Source organism: Homo sapiens, chromosome 14 (assembly GCF_000001405.40).
Source record: "Homo sapiens chromosome 14, GRCh38.p14 Primary Assembly".
NCBI classification, from domain to species: Eukaryota; Metazoa; Chordata; class Mammalia; order Primates; family Hominidae; genus Homo; species Homo sapiens.
The window spans coordinates 51,939,376-51,958,541 of NC_000014.9; the positions used below are offsets into that span (position 1 = coordinate 51,939,376).

At 39.3% G+C, this 19,166-nt stretch overlaps 1 protein-coding gene across 15 annotated transcripts in view; it reads left to right on the top strand.

Annotated features, from left to right (window-relative positions):
* Positions 1-19,166, top strand: part of GNG2 (G protein subunit gamma 2) — a 143,622-nt gene that overhangs the window by 113,202 nt on the left and 11,254 nt on the right. For 10 of the 15 annotated variants that reach the window (NM_001389707.1, XM_047431486.1, NM_001389708.1 and 7 more), the window contains one exon: positions 11,275-11,390. In NM_001389707.1, the coding sequence (NP_001376636.1) occupies positions 11,304-11,390 (87 nt within the window). In that variant the 5' untranslated portion in view covers positions 11,275-11,303. Of the gene's footprint in view, positions 1-405; positions 1,312-11,274; positions 11,391-19,166 lie in introns of all 15 variants that reach the window. The other 5 variants (XM_017021377.2, XM_024449633.2, XM_047431490.1 and 2 more) reach the window with 2 other exon arrangements.

The following is a 19,166-nucleotide window of genomic DNA, read 5'->3' on the forward strand; positions in this document are numbered from 1 at the left end:
CTAACCAATGACCCTCTTTCCCAGAGGAAGGCTGCATCTTGTAAAGTTAATGTTTTCAAAACCAGCAGTTTACTGGAAAGCAGAGAGCTGTCATTTCAAATGATGGCTTCTGGCACCTGCGTGAGACAGGGAAGCCATGTTGCGTCTTACTCTCCACCCACACAGCATAGACGGCTCCCATGCTGATTTGAGGGAAGAAATACGTTGTTTTGTCTCTCTCCCACTTGGTAAGTGGCAACTTCCCAGTGAAACCGCATGGAAATAGTCCAGAGTGGATTTTAGGTTGCTCTGTCAATATGTTGCTCCCTTGGGTTATTTTCTTCCTTCTTGACCCCCACAGCAAGTTTGGTTGTTGGGGTTTCCACACTGGTCCTCATTTGCATTTGCTCTCCCTGTGCCATACAGGTCATAAAATTGCTGTTATGTATGTGAAAACGGCCAAATATACCATAGACCCCAGATTAGGATCAGTCTGGTGCCTCTGAAAATGTGAATTGAGAAGAACTGAAAGAAAATCTTTCCCTGGGGAGACTGCAGCCGAAACACCCTTCTGACGAATGTGCTGACCTAATCTAAGCCTCAATTTCCTTCAACAAGGGATGCATCGCTCACTTCCCTTGAGTTGTGAGAATGAAACAAGATAATGCGTTAAAGCCCTTGGCCCAGTTCCTGGCATGTGGCGAGCTCTTGGTCCATAAGCAAATCTTCGTATTAGTGTGAGTTCCTGGTCCTCCATGAAAGAACAAAGCTTTTGGCCTGTAAAATCTAATTTCTGGAAATGAGAAGCACTAAAAAGAAGAGGAGTGGGGACGGAGTGGGGAGGCACTTGGAAGGCTCCTGTTTTGTTTTGTTTTGTTGACAAATTCATTCTTCATCTTAGCCAGCGCCATGGAGTGAGTCCAGCTCTCTGTGTCTGGCCCCGCTGTGAACCCCCTGAGGCTATCCACAGTTGGATATCTTCCTGTTCCTTCCCTGCCCTACCCTCTTCAAATGCAAACTTGGGGGGGCTCAAGATTATTCCATACCCTTTATCTCCAAGCTAGTCCATGCCTGTTGGTATAGACATCTACCCTACACACACCTGCCCGCACCCTCTCTATTCTCATCTCCTTTTTTGTTCTTCATCTCAAACCTCCACACTGCTGCTCAAAAATGAACAAAGGTGAATGAGGAAACCAGGGCATCATGACACCTAAAAGATCTTTGTGACTTCCCAGTTGTTGAAAGACATGATTGGGAAAGAGTGACTGAGTGTGCAAGGTGGATTCCAACCCAGATCCTCCGGGGCTTGTAAGAGTTGAGAGAAAAGCAGTAAGTGTCCCAATAAATCTTTATTGATTTAAAATCTGCTTAGTGACTGAGAAGCCAAAAGAAATTAGTGTTTGCTGATTAGTAGAGATTGAAATGTGCTATTTTAGTATTTTCAGGTCAAAGTGATGAACTGGCAATAGAAAAAGGTGCCTGACAAACAACGACCCTGAAACCTGGCAGGCCGATATTTTGCAATTATTACTTGATTCACAATTCACATTGCAGCCACTATTGATAAGTTCACTAGAGTTCTGTTTGTGAAAGCCCTTTAGAGGAATGGATATTAACAGTATTTTAGTATATATTATCTAATATTAGTATATATACCAATCTAATTAATGTATATAAATATCAATTTTATGTTGTGTGTATATATACATCATTTAGTAGTATATAATATAGCATATGTTAGTATATATAATATCAATTTGATGATGGATTACTTACTTGCTGCAGAATAAATTAGAGTAAGGATCAAAAAAAGTGAGTGGCAAAAATGACCAAACTAAACATGGGTTATGGTATGAGCAATTAACAAAGACATTTATCCAGATGACTAATTGCAAAAGCTCTGACAAATTCTAAATTGGAACATCGTGAAATTAGTCTGCTAATTCAAAAGCAACTTATAAACAATCACCAAAGATGTGGCTGACTGACAAACAAGAATAATAAAAATATTAAGTGACTGAGAGACTATAAACCTCCAATTTGTATTCTAGACAGAAAAATTGTTTTATTGCCAATGTAATCCTAACTTGTAAATACACAAAACAAAATCTCTCAGCACCTACTGCAAATACCAAAACACAGTCCTGAGAAACATACAGTTGTAATTGAAATTACAGGCCTTAGGGAAGTCTGTCTGGATGCCACCCTTGAAAAACACCATTGAAGTATGAAAAGGATGGAATCCTCCACAATTAACCTACACACTCTCCACCCATTAACAAACCATTTATTTATCTTTGTGCCACAGAAATAAGGGGTTGTGTGTTTATTACTAAGCCTAAATGACAAGAAAATGTATGGTTTCTTAACAGAAAAGTTCCTTCTGAAAGAAATTAAAGTGCTGAATGTGTTTTTAGAAAATGAAATCTCCTCTAATGGTTATTGTTCCATAACAGGCCTATTTTTCATGTTTCTTGTTGGTTGGGTGGGACGGGGACTATAATCCTCTCATCAGTTGAAAAGAATAAAATTTCTTCTGTATTATTCTTCAGTCTGGAATTCAGGTGGGATAATTAGGGCATTCTTTCAGAATTCTATCAATCTCTTATACACAATTCCTATAATTGTTCCAGGGATTTTTGCTATTTGTATCTTTTTTGCTTACTGGCAAATATAACCCGGAATAATCTCATTCTGTCAGTAGACTGCATAAAAGAGACTCTGCTCTGTTTTAGATAAGCCGGGACCAGATATCGATAAAGCATATTGCTGAGAATTATGAATGCTTAACACTTATTCATCATCAGTGAGAAAATAATAGGGATTATAAGACATAAGAATATAAAAACCCAGTTAGTTGAAAGTTTGCACATGGAGTGCTTTCTTTGAGCAGATTTTTCATGATGGCTTTGTGGCTATTTTTTTAGGTATCCTTTCATTTTTCTCACTGGGGGTACTATGGGCCTTTGAGCAGCACAATTCATTGTTGACTGGCCTACTACAAGGCGTTAGAGTCTCCACTTCTGCACACTAACTGCCAGTAGCACCCCCAGTTATTGTCATAGCCCTAACCAACCCCACACATTTCCAAAAGCCTCATAAGAGGCAGTACCTTCCTGGTTGGTTACCACTGCCAGTGAGTCCAGTATGGGACCTTGAGAAAAGATTGAGTCCCATTAGAATTTCTGATTATTAGAATTTTATTTATTTTTTCTCTTTCTTTCTTTCTTTCTTTTTTTTTTTTTTTTTAGAGACAGGGACTCACTGTGTTGCCCAGGCTGGATTCAAACTCCTGGACTCAAACAATCCTCCCTTCTCAGCGCCCCCAAGTAGCTGGGATACAGGCATGTGCCACCAGACCCGGTTAGATTATTAGAAGTTTTAAAAGACATTTTGGCTATAGAATTCTTAAAGAATCAACCTTTGGTGTGAAAATTTTCCCATTCAAATTTAAAGAAGTGTAACCACATGTATTCCATGCTATACCATGGTTGCCATGTGACCCAGTACTTGGCAGGTGCTGGCAACTACTGGGCTCACAACAGCTTGTTGTACCAAAGAATGTCACTCTAGCACTATCCAACCTTTGATCATCACCCCAGCTGATTTCCAGAAATGTTCTGAGATGCCAGAAGTGATTTCAGGAATCGATTTTCCCCAAGAGAACCTACCCTGACTCCATTTACCTCTGCCCCATCAACTCCTAGAAAAAGTGAAGTCTACTGCTGGGCATGCCTCTGGGGTGGTCCTCTGGCAGCCCCAAAGCCAGTGTGGGCCCTACAAAGGTAAATTCCAGGGCATCACAAGTCACAGTGCATCACCAAAGACTAGGCCGATGGGGTGAGGGGGAGTAGTGTGTAGAAATGAATCACCCTCTTTTTAACCAAAAGGTTTTTTGTTGTTGTTGTCATTTGTCTTTAAGAGGTATGTATGTTTTGAAGCTTTGTCTACATGATTTTCTCAGCATATTTGTTTTAAAGCCATTTCAGTGGTTAATGAATTCAAACCTTTATTCTCTCTTAAAAAAACTTCCGCACAATTTGGGTTACATGTAAAATGAAAAAGGGACACTAGCAAAGAATATATGATGTGTGTCTGTGCTTCCCTGTTGAAACTGCCTAAGCATCTAATGGGACTCTGTCAACCCTTTTTATTGACCCCATTATGTTCACAAGGTGCAACATCCTTTCCTCAAGAAGACTTCTTTTTGTATGCAGTTACTTTAAAACTCATGTGAAGGTAGAAGACAAAAGCATTCTTCTCCAGTAAGAATCAGTGAATGTAGTATGTTTATTCACTAACAATGAATAATCTGAAAAGGAAATTAAGAAAAAATTCCATTAACAGTAGCATCAAAAAGAATAAAATAGTTAAGAACTAACCAGGAAGGTAAAAGACTTATTCAACAAAAATTTTTAAAAAATTACTGAAAGAACACATAAATAAATGGAAAAAGACATCTCATGTTCATGGATTAGAAGACAATAGTGTTAAAATGTCAATGCTAGCCAAAGCAATGGACAAATTCACTGCAATCCATTTCAAAATCCCAATAATATTTTTGTAAGAATAGAAAAATCTGTCTTAAAATTCATATAGATTCTCAAAGAACCCCAAATAGCCAAAGCATTCTTGAAACAGAACAAGTTGGAAGACTCAACACTTTCTGATTTCACAATTTACTACAAAGCCATGGTAGTCAAAACTGTAGCACTGGCATAAAGACAGACAATCCATATATAGAGACCAATGGAATAGCATAAAGAGCACAGAAATAAACCCTTACATATATGGTCAAATGATTTTTGAGAAGGGTGCCAAGACAATTTGTCTGACTCAATTTGGGCTGCTATCAAAAAAAAAATGCAATTGACAAGGTGGCTTAAAGAATAAGCATTTCTCTCTCACAGTTCTAAAGGCTAAATGTGCAAGATCAAGATGTCAGCATGATAAGGTCCTGGTGAGGGTTCTCTTCCTAATTTGGAAACGGCTGTTTTTTTGCTGTTTACTCACATGGCTGAGAGGAAGAAATCATTTCTCTTTTTATAAGAGTACTAATATAATTTATGCAGACTCCACCTTCATGACCTAATTACTTCCCAAGGGCTCCACCTCCAAATACCATTATATTGAGGGTTAAGCTTTCACATGTGAATGTGGGAAAGGACACAAACATCCAGGCCATAATTCAGTGGATAAAGGCCAACCTTTTCAACAAATCATGATGGAAAAACTGGATATCCACAGGCAAAAGAATGAAGTTGGCCGTAACACTGTGAACAAAAATGAACTTAAAATGGATCAAACGCCTAAACATAAGAGCTAAAAACTATAAAACTCTTAAAAGAAAACATAGGGCAAAAGCTTCATGACATTGAATTTGTATATAACACCAGAGACATGGGTAACAAAAGCAAAAATAGACAAATTGGACTCCATAAAATGTAAAACTTTTGTGCTTCAAAGGACAGTTCAACGGAGTGAAAAGACAGTCCACAGAATAAGAGTAAATATTTGTAAACCACTTATATGATACAGAATTAATATCCTAAATATGAGACACTTAAAACTCAACAACAATAACAACAAAAACCAATGCAAAAATGGGCAACAGAGTTGAATAGGTATCTCCGCAAAGAAATATGAATGGCCAATAAACACATGAAAAGATGCTCAATTCATTAATCATTAGGGAAATGCAAATAAAAACCAAAGTGAGATACTATCTCACACCCATTAGGATGGCTACTATGAAAACAAAACAAAACAAACAAACAAAAAAAACGGAAAATAACAAGTGTTACCATATGATCCAGCAATTTAACTTCTGGGTATAACCCCCCAAAATTGGAAGCAGGGTCTTTAAAAGATGTTTGGACTACCTTATTCACAGTAGTCATAGTAGCTAAAACATGGAACCAACCAAAGTGTTCATCAAGAGGTGAATGGATAAAGAAAATGTGGTATATACATACAATGGAATATTATTCAGCCTTAAAAAGGAAGGACATTCTGATAGGCTCAAGTGTGGATGAACCTTAGAGACATTATGCTAAGTGAAATAAGCCAGTCACAAAAAGATGAATACTATATGATTCCACTTCTATGAGATACCTAAAGTAGTCAAATTTATAGAGACAGAAAGTAGAATGGTGGCTGCCAGGGGTTGAGGGGAGAATTGGAAGTTATTGTTTGATGGGTATAGAGTTTCAGTTTTGCAAGGTAAAAAGAGTTCTGGAGATGGATGGTGGTGATGATTGCACAACAGTATACGTGTATTTAATACCACTGAACTATATGCTTAAAAATGGTTAAGATAGTAATTTTATATTGTGCATTTTATCACAATTTTTTAAAAAAGAAAAATGAATCAGTGTAGAGGTCTTCTTTTAGCATAAATGGAGGGGTGTGTGCATGTATGTGTATGTGTATGTGTGTGTGTGTGTGATGCAGGGTCCAAATACCTCAAGCTTAGAAGACAAACTCTTATTTGCACAGGTAAACATCGGAATGGGTTTTCTCCTCTTCCTCTCACGTTGCGTTGTTTGTTTGTTTGTTTGTTTAAGATTCTTTGTTTTGTTTGCAATAGTTGGCTTTATAAGGTTTGAACAAATTCAGATAAACCAGGAATAGAGGTACATCACTTGGCGTTTCAGGAAACAGCTAGAAAGCATGGATGCACATGTGTTGTCTTTTTTAACATATACAAAGCCAATACTTGTTCTAGAACAGCATGCATTTAACGTCTTGGGGTGTAATGTTTCGTTTGCTTGACCCTCAAATTCTGCAGAAGTCACAACATGAGCAAAAAGTCTACAAGGAAATGAGCTTCAGAAAATTATGATCCAGCAACATAGTATTCAAAATTGGAATTTTGTGATTCACGGTAGAGGTGGGGAAGATTGTCTATTGTGGACCACGGTCATGGATTGAAAAATAGATGTGGGCAAATCAAAAGCAACTAACAACTAATATTCAGATGTTGTCTGATGTATGAAGAAAGTGGAAGAAAGAGAATATCTTAAGAACATAGGAGGTAATTCAGCAAATTCCAATGAATATATAGATGTACATTCTACATTGCGGTCAGTTTAAAAGAGAAAGAAAAAGGAAGAGACTGATCACAAAGAATAAAAAACCATTGGGTGGAAAGGAATGAAGCATCAAAATGTGTACAGTTTCAGAGACGGGTGTAAATGGCTTAATTCACAATCTCACGCTGCTCCAGCTCCACCCCAGTGTTTCCAGTTGCGGTCATCTTCCTCTCTCCTCCTCACCAACACTAGATGCCATTGTGTCTCCTCCAGCCCTACTCCCTCACCAGTTGATTCGACTCTCTGGTGTCCTTCTTTTGCTCCTATTTTAGCTTCTGGCCTGTGGAGATCCCCCACTACGTGACTCTAAACCCAAAATGGATCCAGTATCCATTTTACATGAATCTCACCCTTCACCCAAATGCCACTGTCACCTCTTAGGAAAATAAACACTTCTTTGGAATGCTGGCCTAGTACTTTACAATTCTTTCAGTCTTCAGGAGGGGATTTTTTCATTGCTTTTACGAGAAATCAGCTGGATGTGAAAAAAAAGGGAAAAATGCACTAATTGATTCTAAAAGTGGTGCTCGACTCTGCCTGGTTCATACAGTTAAACAAGAACATTCAGGGTGTAGCTGCCTAAAACTAGGAGCACAAAACAAAGCCTAGGTTTACTTTTTCTCTTAAGTCCATTGAGGTTTCAAATGTGTTTTCCCCTCCTGCATTTCTAGACTACTGCCCCATGCCTCTTCTTTCCCCATCTCAATTTCCCACCTCCCTACTTCCCTTCCCTGCCTATACAGAGGACTTCTTCCATGATAGGCAGAATAACAACCCCCCAAAGATGTTCATGTCCCAATTCCCAGAACCTAGAAATACATTATGTCACATGGCAGAGAAGAATTAAAGTTGCAGATGGAATTAAGGTTGTTAATCAGCTGACTTAAAAATAGATTATCCTGGATTATCTGTGTGGGCGCAATGTAGTTACAAGGGTCCTTAAAAGTGGAAGGGGTGGGCAGAAGTCAGTCAGAGGAAGATGTGACTTCAGAGGAGGTCAGAGTGATGTGACATGAGAAGGGCTCCACTCACCTTTGCCAGCTTTAAAGATGGAGGAAAGGGCCAAGAGCCAAGAAAAGCTGACAGCCTCCAGAAGCTAGAAAATGAAAGAAAGTGAACTCTCAGAGCCTCAAAAAGGAACACAGCCCTGCTTGTACCTTGACTTTAGCCCAGTGAGACCCATTTGAGACTAATGCTCTCCAGAATTATAAGATAATAAATTTCTATTGTTTAAGCCCCTAAACTTGTAGTAATATATTACAGCAGCAATAGAACAAATATATTCTCTATCTCAGCCTCCTCAAGCCACTCACAGCTTTTCCCAGGGAGCATGAAAAGGCATTGAGACACAGACTTTCCTTGATGCTTGAATGACAATAATGGGTCATTTACTCAGTTAATAGCAGGTCTGTTGGCTAATGACAGAGAACCCCTCAATAATGGTGGCATCAATAAGATAGGCACTTATTTCTCTGTCACATCAAAGGTAACCATCTCACAGTTGGCATGGTGGCTCCACAAAATCAGTAAGGACCCAGATCCTTCCTGTTCACCCTAGTGTAGCAGTCATGCTAGAGGTTCAAGAGGGACTTCTGTGATCAATGCAGATGCCTCCCAGGCCAGTAGCAGGAGGAAGGAGAGACAAGGCGTATACCTCTTCCCTTCAAGAACATTTCTGCTTATATCTCATTGGCCAAAACTTAGTCATGTAACTATACCTAGCTGCAAGAGAGGCTTGGAATGTATCTTTCGGCTAAATACACCTAGCTAAAATTCAGGGTTCTTGTGGTCTCCACTAAGAAAAAAAGTGTCGTTACTAATGAAGAAGAAAGGAAGAGGGATTAGAAGGCAAGTTGTGATCTCTGCCACAGGTCACCCTGTAATCTGGTGTAGATTCAGGGCAGAAGAGTCACTGGCCAGAATCTCAAATGTCCCAATAAGAATTTGGTAATTCTGTGATAGTCTGCATTCCAGCCAGATGAATGAATTCCAGTTTGGCAGAAACATTCGCTTCACAGAACAGCATCCAGGGGCTTGTAGATTGTGGCTGCATCCAATATTGGATGAATAGAAGAGTTAGGCTACCCTTCTGAATAAGTCAATGCTCTATCTTGGCCCTATGAAGTCTTCCTAGGCTGTTAGATGTTTGTTTAATTGTGGAGCATGTAATTTCCCTGTGAGGCTGCGATGATTGGGTCTCTAACCATGCTAATGAAATAATACTTGTTAAAGTCTCCTTTTATTATTTTGTTTTTCCATGCAATTCTCCTTCCTTTGATCTCCAAATGTGTAAAAGTAGAGTTCAGAGATCTCTGTGACTTCAAAAATTCCTTCAATCTTCCCTCTCATTTTATTGTCTCCAAACTCTTTGAAAATAAATTGAGGGATGGCCGGGCGTGGTGGCTCATGCCTGTAATCGCAGCACTTTGGGAGGCCGAGGTGGGCGGATCACGAGGTCAGGAGATCAAGACCATCCTGGCTAACATGGTGAAACCCCGTCTCTATTAAAAATACAAAAAATTAGCCAGGTGTGGTGGCGGGCACCTGTAGTCCCAGCTTCTCAGGAGGCTGAGGCAGGAGAATGGCATGAACCTGGGTGGTGGAGCTTGCAGTGAGCCGAGATCGCGCCACTGCACTCCAGCTTGGGCGACAGAGGCAGACTCCGTCTCAAAAAAAAAAAAAAAAGAAAAGAAATTGAGGGAACAATTAATTATGCTCCAATTTATTCTGTAAATGATGTTGGGTGGCTTATTTTGTAGTATTCTTCAACATAATATTCTCCATGAAGGGATTTGTATGTTACAGAGAGTTATACCTAATTTCTTCTTTTGTCTTGAAGAACTGGATATCAAGAAATAACTACCAAAAGAGATAATTTATAGACTTTTGCTTTTTGGTCATTAAGACAATAATTATTTGTTGATTTTAGTTGGTAGGTTAAAAAAAATCTATGTACAGAATTTGTTACGGGTTATTCTTCATTTTCCAGGTTTTCTGTGTGTTCTTTTTCTTTTTAAGATAAGTAACCTGATCTTACTTCATCCTTTGGTAAAAAGATTGTCCAAAGCTAGCAGAAGTCATTATTTTTTATATAATATCTTCAGAACAAGATTCCATTAGTGTTGACGAGGCAGTGTTTAATGTTTCTGTTTCATGGGTCATGCACTCTAGTCAAATCAAAGCACTTAGGTTTTGCTTTATCCAATAGGATATCAGTGATCTCAAGGAGCATATTTACACAGGTAGTCCTAAAATTGCATATGACACCTTGACACAAAGTAAGATTTGTTCAGAATGTGGGGGAAGTGGGCATCAGCAACGGGAATAAAATAAGGTATTTTCCAAGATGAACAATAATAATAAAGTGAGATGGTATGTCAAGAAAGGATAAGAAGAGAAATGAATGTGGGATAGGATTTGAAGGGGGAGGGGAGCACACATGGAGAAAGAGGTATGGCAGAGACAAAGAAACCATCTCGCAATCTGCCTAGGAACAGAACTCTACTCTCAAACCCTGGCCTCAAGGGATCCTCCCACCTTGACCTTTCAGAGTGCTGGGATTACAGATGTGGGCCACCATGCCCAGCCAAGAACTCTACTCTCAAAATGTTTATGTTCCAGATTTATAAAAGAAATCAGTTAATAAGTTTGTTGTACTTCATTTAGAATAACACTGGTGAACTAATTGTCATATTTAGAGATTAGGCATGGCAATCCCTCCCATTTGGCATGATAGATGTGTCCCTGAGGAATTATGAGTAAAGTAGATCGTTGTGACTCAAACTTTAATTTCAAATAGAGTGGGGAGGAATGGCTATTTACAGCAATGCTGGATTAAGTGACACTGAAAAGCCAAGCCTCCCACTATAGTGTCTCTGTAGTATAATACGCTGAGGTGGTCACAGTTAACCAGAAGGATGGGGTTTGAGCCCACTGGGAGAACATTTGGTAATATTCTTTGTGTGTGTGTTTTTTTTCTCTCTAAAGAAGGGATGGGGAAGTAGGGAGAATTGGAAAATCAAACCTCATCCTCTGCTCTGCCTGCCAGTCAGAGGTAATACCGACCAAGGATGGAGAGGGCTGGAGAAGCCAGGCCTGGCTACAGCCACTGCTTTGAGATCCCCTAGTTACGATGAACTTGCACATTTGCTGGCTCATGAATTCTCTGGTACAATCTTCTTTTTGTTTTCTTTTCTAGTGTTTCTGAAAGATCTATCCAGCACTCCGATGGCCAGCAACAACACCGCCAGCATAGCACAAGCCAGGAAGCTGGTAGAGCAGCTTAAGATGGAAGCCAATATCGACAGGATAAAGGTGAGGATGGTCTAACCCCACACTTCATCTAGCGTGAGTCTAAGGCGCATGTCATGTGACCACTCTTTCCTAGAGAGGGATAAAACCAGTAATGACAGGAGAGCATCTTAAAGATTAGGCAGAAGTTCATTTCTAACGTGTCTTTCCCTTCTCCAGCATAAAATAATAGAATGAATTAGATCCTCTTTCCCATGTAGAATTAAAACCTAACAACACAACACAAAAAAAAAAGCAAAACAGGCTCATGGTTAAATTCCAGTGAGAGAAATTAGAGAACACATAAAATATATCAGCGCACTAGTTCCCCTCCCTGTCCTCATGGAAACGTTTTTCTTATTTGGTTTTTAATTTTTTCTGTCCTGGTTCAGGTTCTAAGGCTAAATGTCCGTATTTTGGGTCTAACACTTCTAGTTATCCTTGCACGTTATAAGTTTTTTCTTCTTTATACTTTATTGAATTTTTTTCCTGCAAACACAAAAGTCACACCTTGCCTCCCTAAGAAGTCAAACAACAAAGAGGTTTAATGAAAGTTCATAGTCTATGTGTTTCTTTTTTTCCTCTCCCTCCCCAGACCTAACCTGACAGCTTTGCTGTAAGCTGGGGCTAATTCATCTGGAACCAAGACTTTAAATTCAAACCCTTCGTTGGTAGTTTTCAGATGAAAACCTTGGCCAATATGCTGTCGTTATTAATAGATAGCTATGGCACGGTGGCAAAGTAAATTTCTGTTAACCATCAAAACTTTACTGCCCCAGAAGTAAAATGCCTTACCCAAGAATTCTATGAAATGCAGCTCAGACACATATCTCATTGTACTAAGCTAAAACTACAACCTTCTTCCAAATGCCCTTTTAAAACTAGAATATTTTTCCTATTTTCTCCATACCTAATTCAGCACCTGGGCAATCCAGCTGTCCTTTGGAGTCTGACAGGGTCAATAAAATTTGGCTCATGGGCCAAAGCCAGCCCACTGCCTATGTTTATAAAGAAAGTTTTATTAGAACACACTCATTTACATATTGTCTATGGCTGCTTTCACTCTAAAACAGCAGAGTAGGGTGGTTGTAACAGAGACCATATGGCCCACAAAGCTAAAATATTTATTCTCTGGTGTTTCACAGGAAGTTCACTGACCCCTGGTCTACAGCGATGGTTCTCAGCTCATCTGTGCGTTCCCAACACCCAGAGAGCTCTATAAAAGGACCAATTACCGAACCACACCCAAACCAATTAAATTAGAATCTCCTGGGGTATGATTCAGGCATCAGTATTTTTTAAAAAGAATTTTTCAGTTCATTCCGATGTATAGCCAAGGTTGAGAACCACTGTCCTATGGGAAGGAGTTTACTTCTGCTAAGTCTCATCAGGTATGTGCTAGAGAGTGAAGAGAGAGCTCTTCTTTCTCTACAAGTAAGATGAGCAAATACCCATGGACATTTTCCCATTATCCTAAATCTCCTTTGTAAAATTTGATGCCTAGTAATGGACCACAGGATTTAATCAGCTCCTGCTCTTCTTTCAACAGCCTTAATTCTTCTTCTTTCTTCATGACTGAGATCACTAAAGCGACCTTACCGTGCTCCTTTGCCATCTTCCTCTTCTCCTCTTTTCTTGCTTCTTCTTTTTCACTCTCTTGCTGAAAAAGCACAAAGCAACAGGTGGGCACAATACCTGCTGAGAGAAGTAAGGTGGCCCATGGATTGTCAAATCAGAAAGGGTCATTCAGTTCTTTTTGAGGGAGAGGAGGTTCTGCCCATGGGCCTTCTGGAAAATACCACTTTGACTTTTGAGGTGGTCCAACTATGATAAAAGTCTGTGAAGCTTTACTGTGGTTGATGTTTTCTGTTAATATTCAGCATCCCCAGTTACTGTTCCTGAAGGAGGATATGATGTGCTCATGGGTGATGAAAACTGACAGCAGAAGAAAGATAATAGAAATAGAGCTTTTCAGAAATAGTTTAGACTTTTATCATCCCTCACCTGAATTACTGACTGCAAGGGGCTCCTATTTGCTGTCTGCAATTCCATCTCAATACATCTCCATCCCGCCATCAATTACCTTCCATATTCCTTCCAAATATAATGTTCTAAAAGAAAATCTAATTACATTCCTCTTTATTGAAAATCAGCTCATGATTCCCCATCACCAGTAAAATAAAATTCAGGCCCTTTAGCAGTGTATACAAAGTTCCTGTGACCCCTGTCATCTCTTCAGCTTCATTCCTGCTCTCTTTTCTGCATGCCATATAGAACAACTTTTAATTCTTTTGATGGGAATTTCAAATGCCTAGAACATCCAGTCTCCTTTGCCCCTCTACCTTGCTGCTTTACTTACCTTACTTTACTTAACACTTGACTGCATTGACTCATTAAAGATTCAGATCAAATTATTAGGTCCTTTAAAAAGTTTTCCTAGACCCGCATCATAAGGTTGGATTTTTGCTGTTTGTTCAGTTGTTCATTCATTTACTTATATAATAAATACTTTACTGAGAGCTTTCTAAATTGCAAGGGCTTGTTAGGTTCTAAAGAGATGGAGATAGACAAAAACATGATTCTTGCTCTCAAAAATCCCTGACCTAGTTGAAGACTACAAAAAAATTGAACAAGGCCTATTATTGACGCAAACAAGATATCCAAGAAGCATAGTTACCAAATGTGATCAGAAAGAAGCCAATACCACACTCTGATTGCCCTTTGAAGAGACACAAATAAATCAATACTAAAAAAGAAGCAAAGCATGAACCTGATAAACTGGGTGTGAGTAGTTGCCTTCCTAGGTGATCTTCACATTCAAATCTCTGAATCCCACTTGATGTCATTGGACCTTACATTGTTAGAAATACAGCAGCATCCTGTATTTCAGCATTTGTTCTGTACCTCAGAGCCAGGCAGGCTTGCTGTGGTGAAGTGACAGATTATTTTTAGTTGAGCAGTTGGATAAAGTGTTGACTGTGTTGACACGGTTGTCAGCTAGCTGGTTTAGGGCTTGGTTATCTGCCTTTAGAAGTCTTTTCAAGGCTTTTGAGCATTCAGGCTTCCCCACCTACTTTCCATACATGATCCTTCAGCAGGAAGGGGCTTCTCTCTGAAGATCCCAGGCTTGTGATTTTCCAGTGAGAGTAGTGACCTCTTCAAGCTATAAAGGATAGAAATGGCTTTATATACGTCTGGCAGAACCTACTGCAACTGAGGTGGCAAAGAATAGGACTCTTAAGAGGAGGATTTGGGGACACAGCTGGAATTGAAGTTGTTGAGGGTCCCTTAAGCAGGCGGTGGCCTTATCCCTCATGTGACCCCCAGAATAAATTATGCTGCATAGAGTAGCCCTACTCTATGAATAACATAGTTACATGAATAGCATGTTTGTTTTTTAAGCCTTCTTGTTTTCTATCCCTTTACATCACAGACCCTGGGAGATTTGGGCTAAGTGAACCAATTATCTGTTCATAAGCCTCGGGCATATATAAATTATACTCTCAGCCTCTTTGTATTTCTTTGTTAGGATTTCATTCAAGGACAGAGGGTAAAGAGAAATAAAAGGAAATTGGGAAGAGAGTTAGGGGAAGGGGGAGAGAGGGGCTGTGGACTGTGACACCTGGATGAATGAAACAGCAATAGACTCACACTAACACTGACCAAAGACAAAATGAAAGAAACCTTGTCCTTAGAGCACAAGAGGAGGGAACATGCACAAAAGTAAAGGACAGCAGGGCTTCAGTAAATCTGTTTATTCATCATTGTATTAGGACTCTTTGAGTTTCTAATAATAGGAATCTCAACCAAGCTAGCTGAAGCAGAAAGAGGTACTGATTATAAAAGATACAGGATGTCTCAATCCAAGAGCAGAAATGTGGCTAGATAGGCAGTGGAAGTGAGAACTGGAAGGCCATTGAGAACTGCGAGTGCTCCGTCACCTGTCTCTGCTCCTCTCTCTGTGTCTGCCTCTTCCTTTTCCTGGGAAGAAGGGATTTTTAGCTGCCAGGTCCATATAGCAGGCACAAGATGGCTGCCCATGGTTCCCAGGATCACAACTCATAGTTCCAGCTCCATGAAAAAAGAGATGGCTTGATTCAATCCTTTTCAGTCTCCATAGCACGTAGTCCTAGAGTGCCATCTCTGTTCCAGCAAGAATGAGCCCTCTCCAGCTTCAATCAACTGACATTCAAATTGAACTCCATTATACAGACATAGCCCCTAGGAATTAACCTGCCCATGTAGAGGAATGGGAATGGGAATGGGAATCATTGTAAGCTGGAAAGATGCTCTTTGGCAGGAGATGCTATTAATATTATGAAAAATAATGTAAATTTAAGAGTAAAAGATATAAGATGCAAGGCAAGAGCATGGGTAAAATGATTGCTTCTTAACTAATTGGCTGCTCCATAAATTGACCCCACAGAAAAATGTCTCATTTCTCCCATATACTCCCAACAGACCTTTCCAAGTGATTCCTTTTATCGTTCTAAAAGTGTGCTATGCAAAGTGTCACCTCTCTGGTTATTCTGGGTTTCTGACTGAGAATACCCTTCCCTCTTATTTCTTTGCCTCTCCCAATCTTATTCCTCCTTTAGGGGTCAGCTCAAGTTCCTACTTGTTCATGAATCTCTTTTTCTATTCTGACCATATTTACTAATCAATTTACTAATTAGTTTCATCTTCATCAAATAAATTTTTCCACCTAGACTACATAGTCCTTTTCAAAGACCATGTTGTCTACTTGTTTGCATCTTTCATGGTACTGGGGTACACAAGCATTTTGTAAAAGCTTTTTTCAGTAGACAGCTTTAAATTTGTGTATTAAGAGTGTCATATAACAAAACATTACTATATTCCCCATGACATTCCCAGTTACATTTATGGACTTGGAGATTCCAAGCATGAATGTAACTGGACAAATAAAGCTGTGGTAATGGGGAAGTCAAATTAAATATTTTTTAAAAGGATGGAATTAGTCATTTTAAAGAAAGATAAATTGTTTCATATCATTGTATGATCATAAATATCTAGCATTTATAGTGTGCCTTCTGTTTAAAACACTTTAACATATAAAAAGAACAGACTGACTTTCACAACGAGGACAAATATGTATAAATTAGTGAGCCAAATATGGACATTTCTAATGATTAAGTCATCTTTATGATGATTATGATAATAGATTGAAATTGAACTTCATGGAACCCTGTAGTGAGAAATGGTCCAGTTAGACGCCATCCTTGGAACTAGAGAGAGGACATATATTCTAGGTTTAGGACATTTTAAGTATTTTTCCAGCATTTGAGCTGAGAGTATCCCTTCCCTAAAATGCTTGTGTTCAATTTTATTAGGAAAAATGGAATACAATCCTCCTTCTAGGCCAATTCCAACCTCACCCTATATATCTCTTTATCCAACTCTTCATTTATATCCTTTAAAATATCCTTTGCAATAAGTTGGAAATAGCAAGTAAACTGTTTTCTTGGGTTCTGTGAGCTACTCTAGCAAATTATCCAACCTGAAGAGGTAGTCATGGGAACCTCTGATTTGTAGCCAAGTTGGACAGAACTTGTGAGTAACCTGGGGGCCTACTGCTTGCTATTGGCATTTGAAATGGGGCAGGGGCAGCCTTGTGAGACTAAGCTCTTACCTGTGGGATCTGTTTCTGTCTCCACATAGATAGTATCAGAATTGAATTAAATTGTAGGACACACAGGTGGGCCAGAGAATTGCTTGGTGTGGGAAAACCTACACATCTGGTATCATAAAAGAAGTATGTAGAGTGGTGTGAGTATAGATTAGGAGGAAACAGTTGGATTGTTTTTCTATACACACTTCCCATCTCAAGCCTCCATCCAGTATAATCTTTGAAATCCTTTCAAAACACAAATTAAAGTTAAGTCAACCTTAGATGGCTCCATTAATGCGGGCAACCCAACTAAAGCCATGATTTTATGACTGATACCCTTAATACACAGGCAATTTCCCGTGTGTATAGGCAATGACAGCCTGTGCTTATTTTTTGCCTGATGGCTTGCAAGCATTTTGCAACATCGATTTTAAGATGTGTCTCAATTTCAGATGTAATGAAGATGGATTATATCTCTACCTTCTGTTTAAATTTGGGGATCTGGTTTTTATCCTTACTGACAACTGCTTCATCTTGGCATTGTCAAGCAGTCTTTCTAGAGTAATTCTCCTGTTTTTTTGGAGCCTAGACTCACAGTCCGGTAGCCTTCATTGAAGCTGTCTAGAGTACCACCTGCCCCACCCCGCCACCCCCACAACTCCTTACTTCCCGGTTCTCAGTCCCGGTCTGGTTTGGTGAGGATGCTGGATAGTAGGATTTCAGCAATTGCTAATCTGGGGAGATCCTTGCTGTGATCAAAAGTGAAGTCCTTCACTTGTGCAGTAGATCCCACCTCTCTAACCAAGAAACCTCCTCCAGCAGTTTATTCTTCCACCTTCTGTCTATCCTGCATCATCAGTTTTTGATTCTCTACATCATTTCCATTATCATACAAACATGGTGTTATTTCTCCATCTTAAATAAAATTTGATTTTTTTCTCAATCCCTCCACTTCCCCTTCTAGCAACGGCCTCAATTGTTTACATTTTTTGCAGTATGACTTTGAAAAAAGTATCTATATCCACCATCTCTAATTTCTCTTTTCCTTTTCTTTTGCAAAGTCATTTTTATTCTGGAAATAATCTCAAAGTTACAGAAGAGTTGCATGTGTGGTGCAAACAATTTTGTTTTCTCCTGAGCCAGTTGAGAATAAGTTGTCAAAAGATGTCCTGTCACCTCTGAATACTGTAATGTGTGTTTTCTACAAGTAAGGACATTCTTCTACATACTCATAATACAATCATCAGAATCAGGAAATTAACACTGACCCATTACTACCTTCTAACCCTGAGATCCCATTTAAGTATGCAAATCATCCCAGTAATGTCCCTTTTAGCGAGAGGACCAAGTTCAGAATCATTTATTGCATTGAGTTGTCCTGTCTGGCACAGTTCTTTAGACTTCCGTGACCTTCATGACCTTGACACTTTTGGAGATTATAGGCCATTTATTTTTTAGAATGTCACTCAGTTTGGGTTTTTCAGATAATTATAATTAAATTCAGGTAACAAAACTTTGGCATTAATATCATAGAACTAATGGAGTATTCATTTCATTGTATTCTATTGGTGGGACATTATCTCAAATTGTTACTGACTGGTAATGTTAAGTTTCACTACCTGACTAATGTGTTTTCCAGATTTCTCCACACAAACCTATTTGTTTTCTTTTTGAAGTTAAAAAGTATTTGGAATTTGGGAAGGAATTTCCTCTTTTATTCAGTGGTGTACAGTCTGCTACTATCATCATGTATTTTGATGTTTCCGTTGGCACAGACTGAAAGTGGTTATTGCGTCCTTTTGGCATGCTGCCCTCATTCTTTGAGCTCTTTCTCAGTTTTTGGCACAGAAAGATGTTCTAAGCTCCCCTTGTTTTCCCTGCCCCAGTCCTGGAATCATCCTTTTTTCCAAAGAGCACTGGTTCCTGGTTCCTTTGAGAATGGTATTTAGAAACCAAGATCTAGATGCCAAATGTGCTCACTGCTGAAGTGTTGCTGCCCCCCAGGACCTCTCAGTGGATAGAGCTAGATAATACAGTCATACAATCAGTCTGTCTCTCTCTCTTCCGTTCCCCCCCCCCATTTATATTTCTTTCTATATCTGTATGTATGTGTATATGTAACCATAAGTTCTCACTGACACCACCAATTCCTACCCTACACTGCAGGGTTC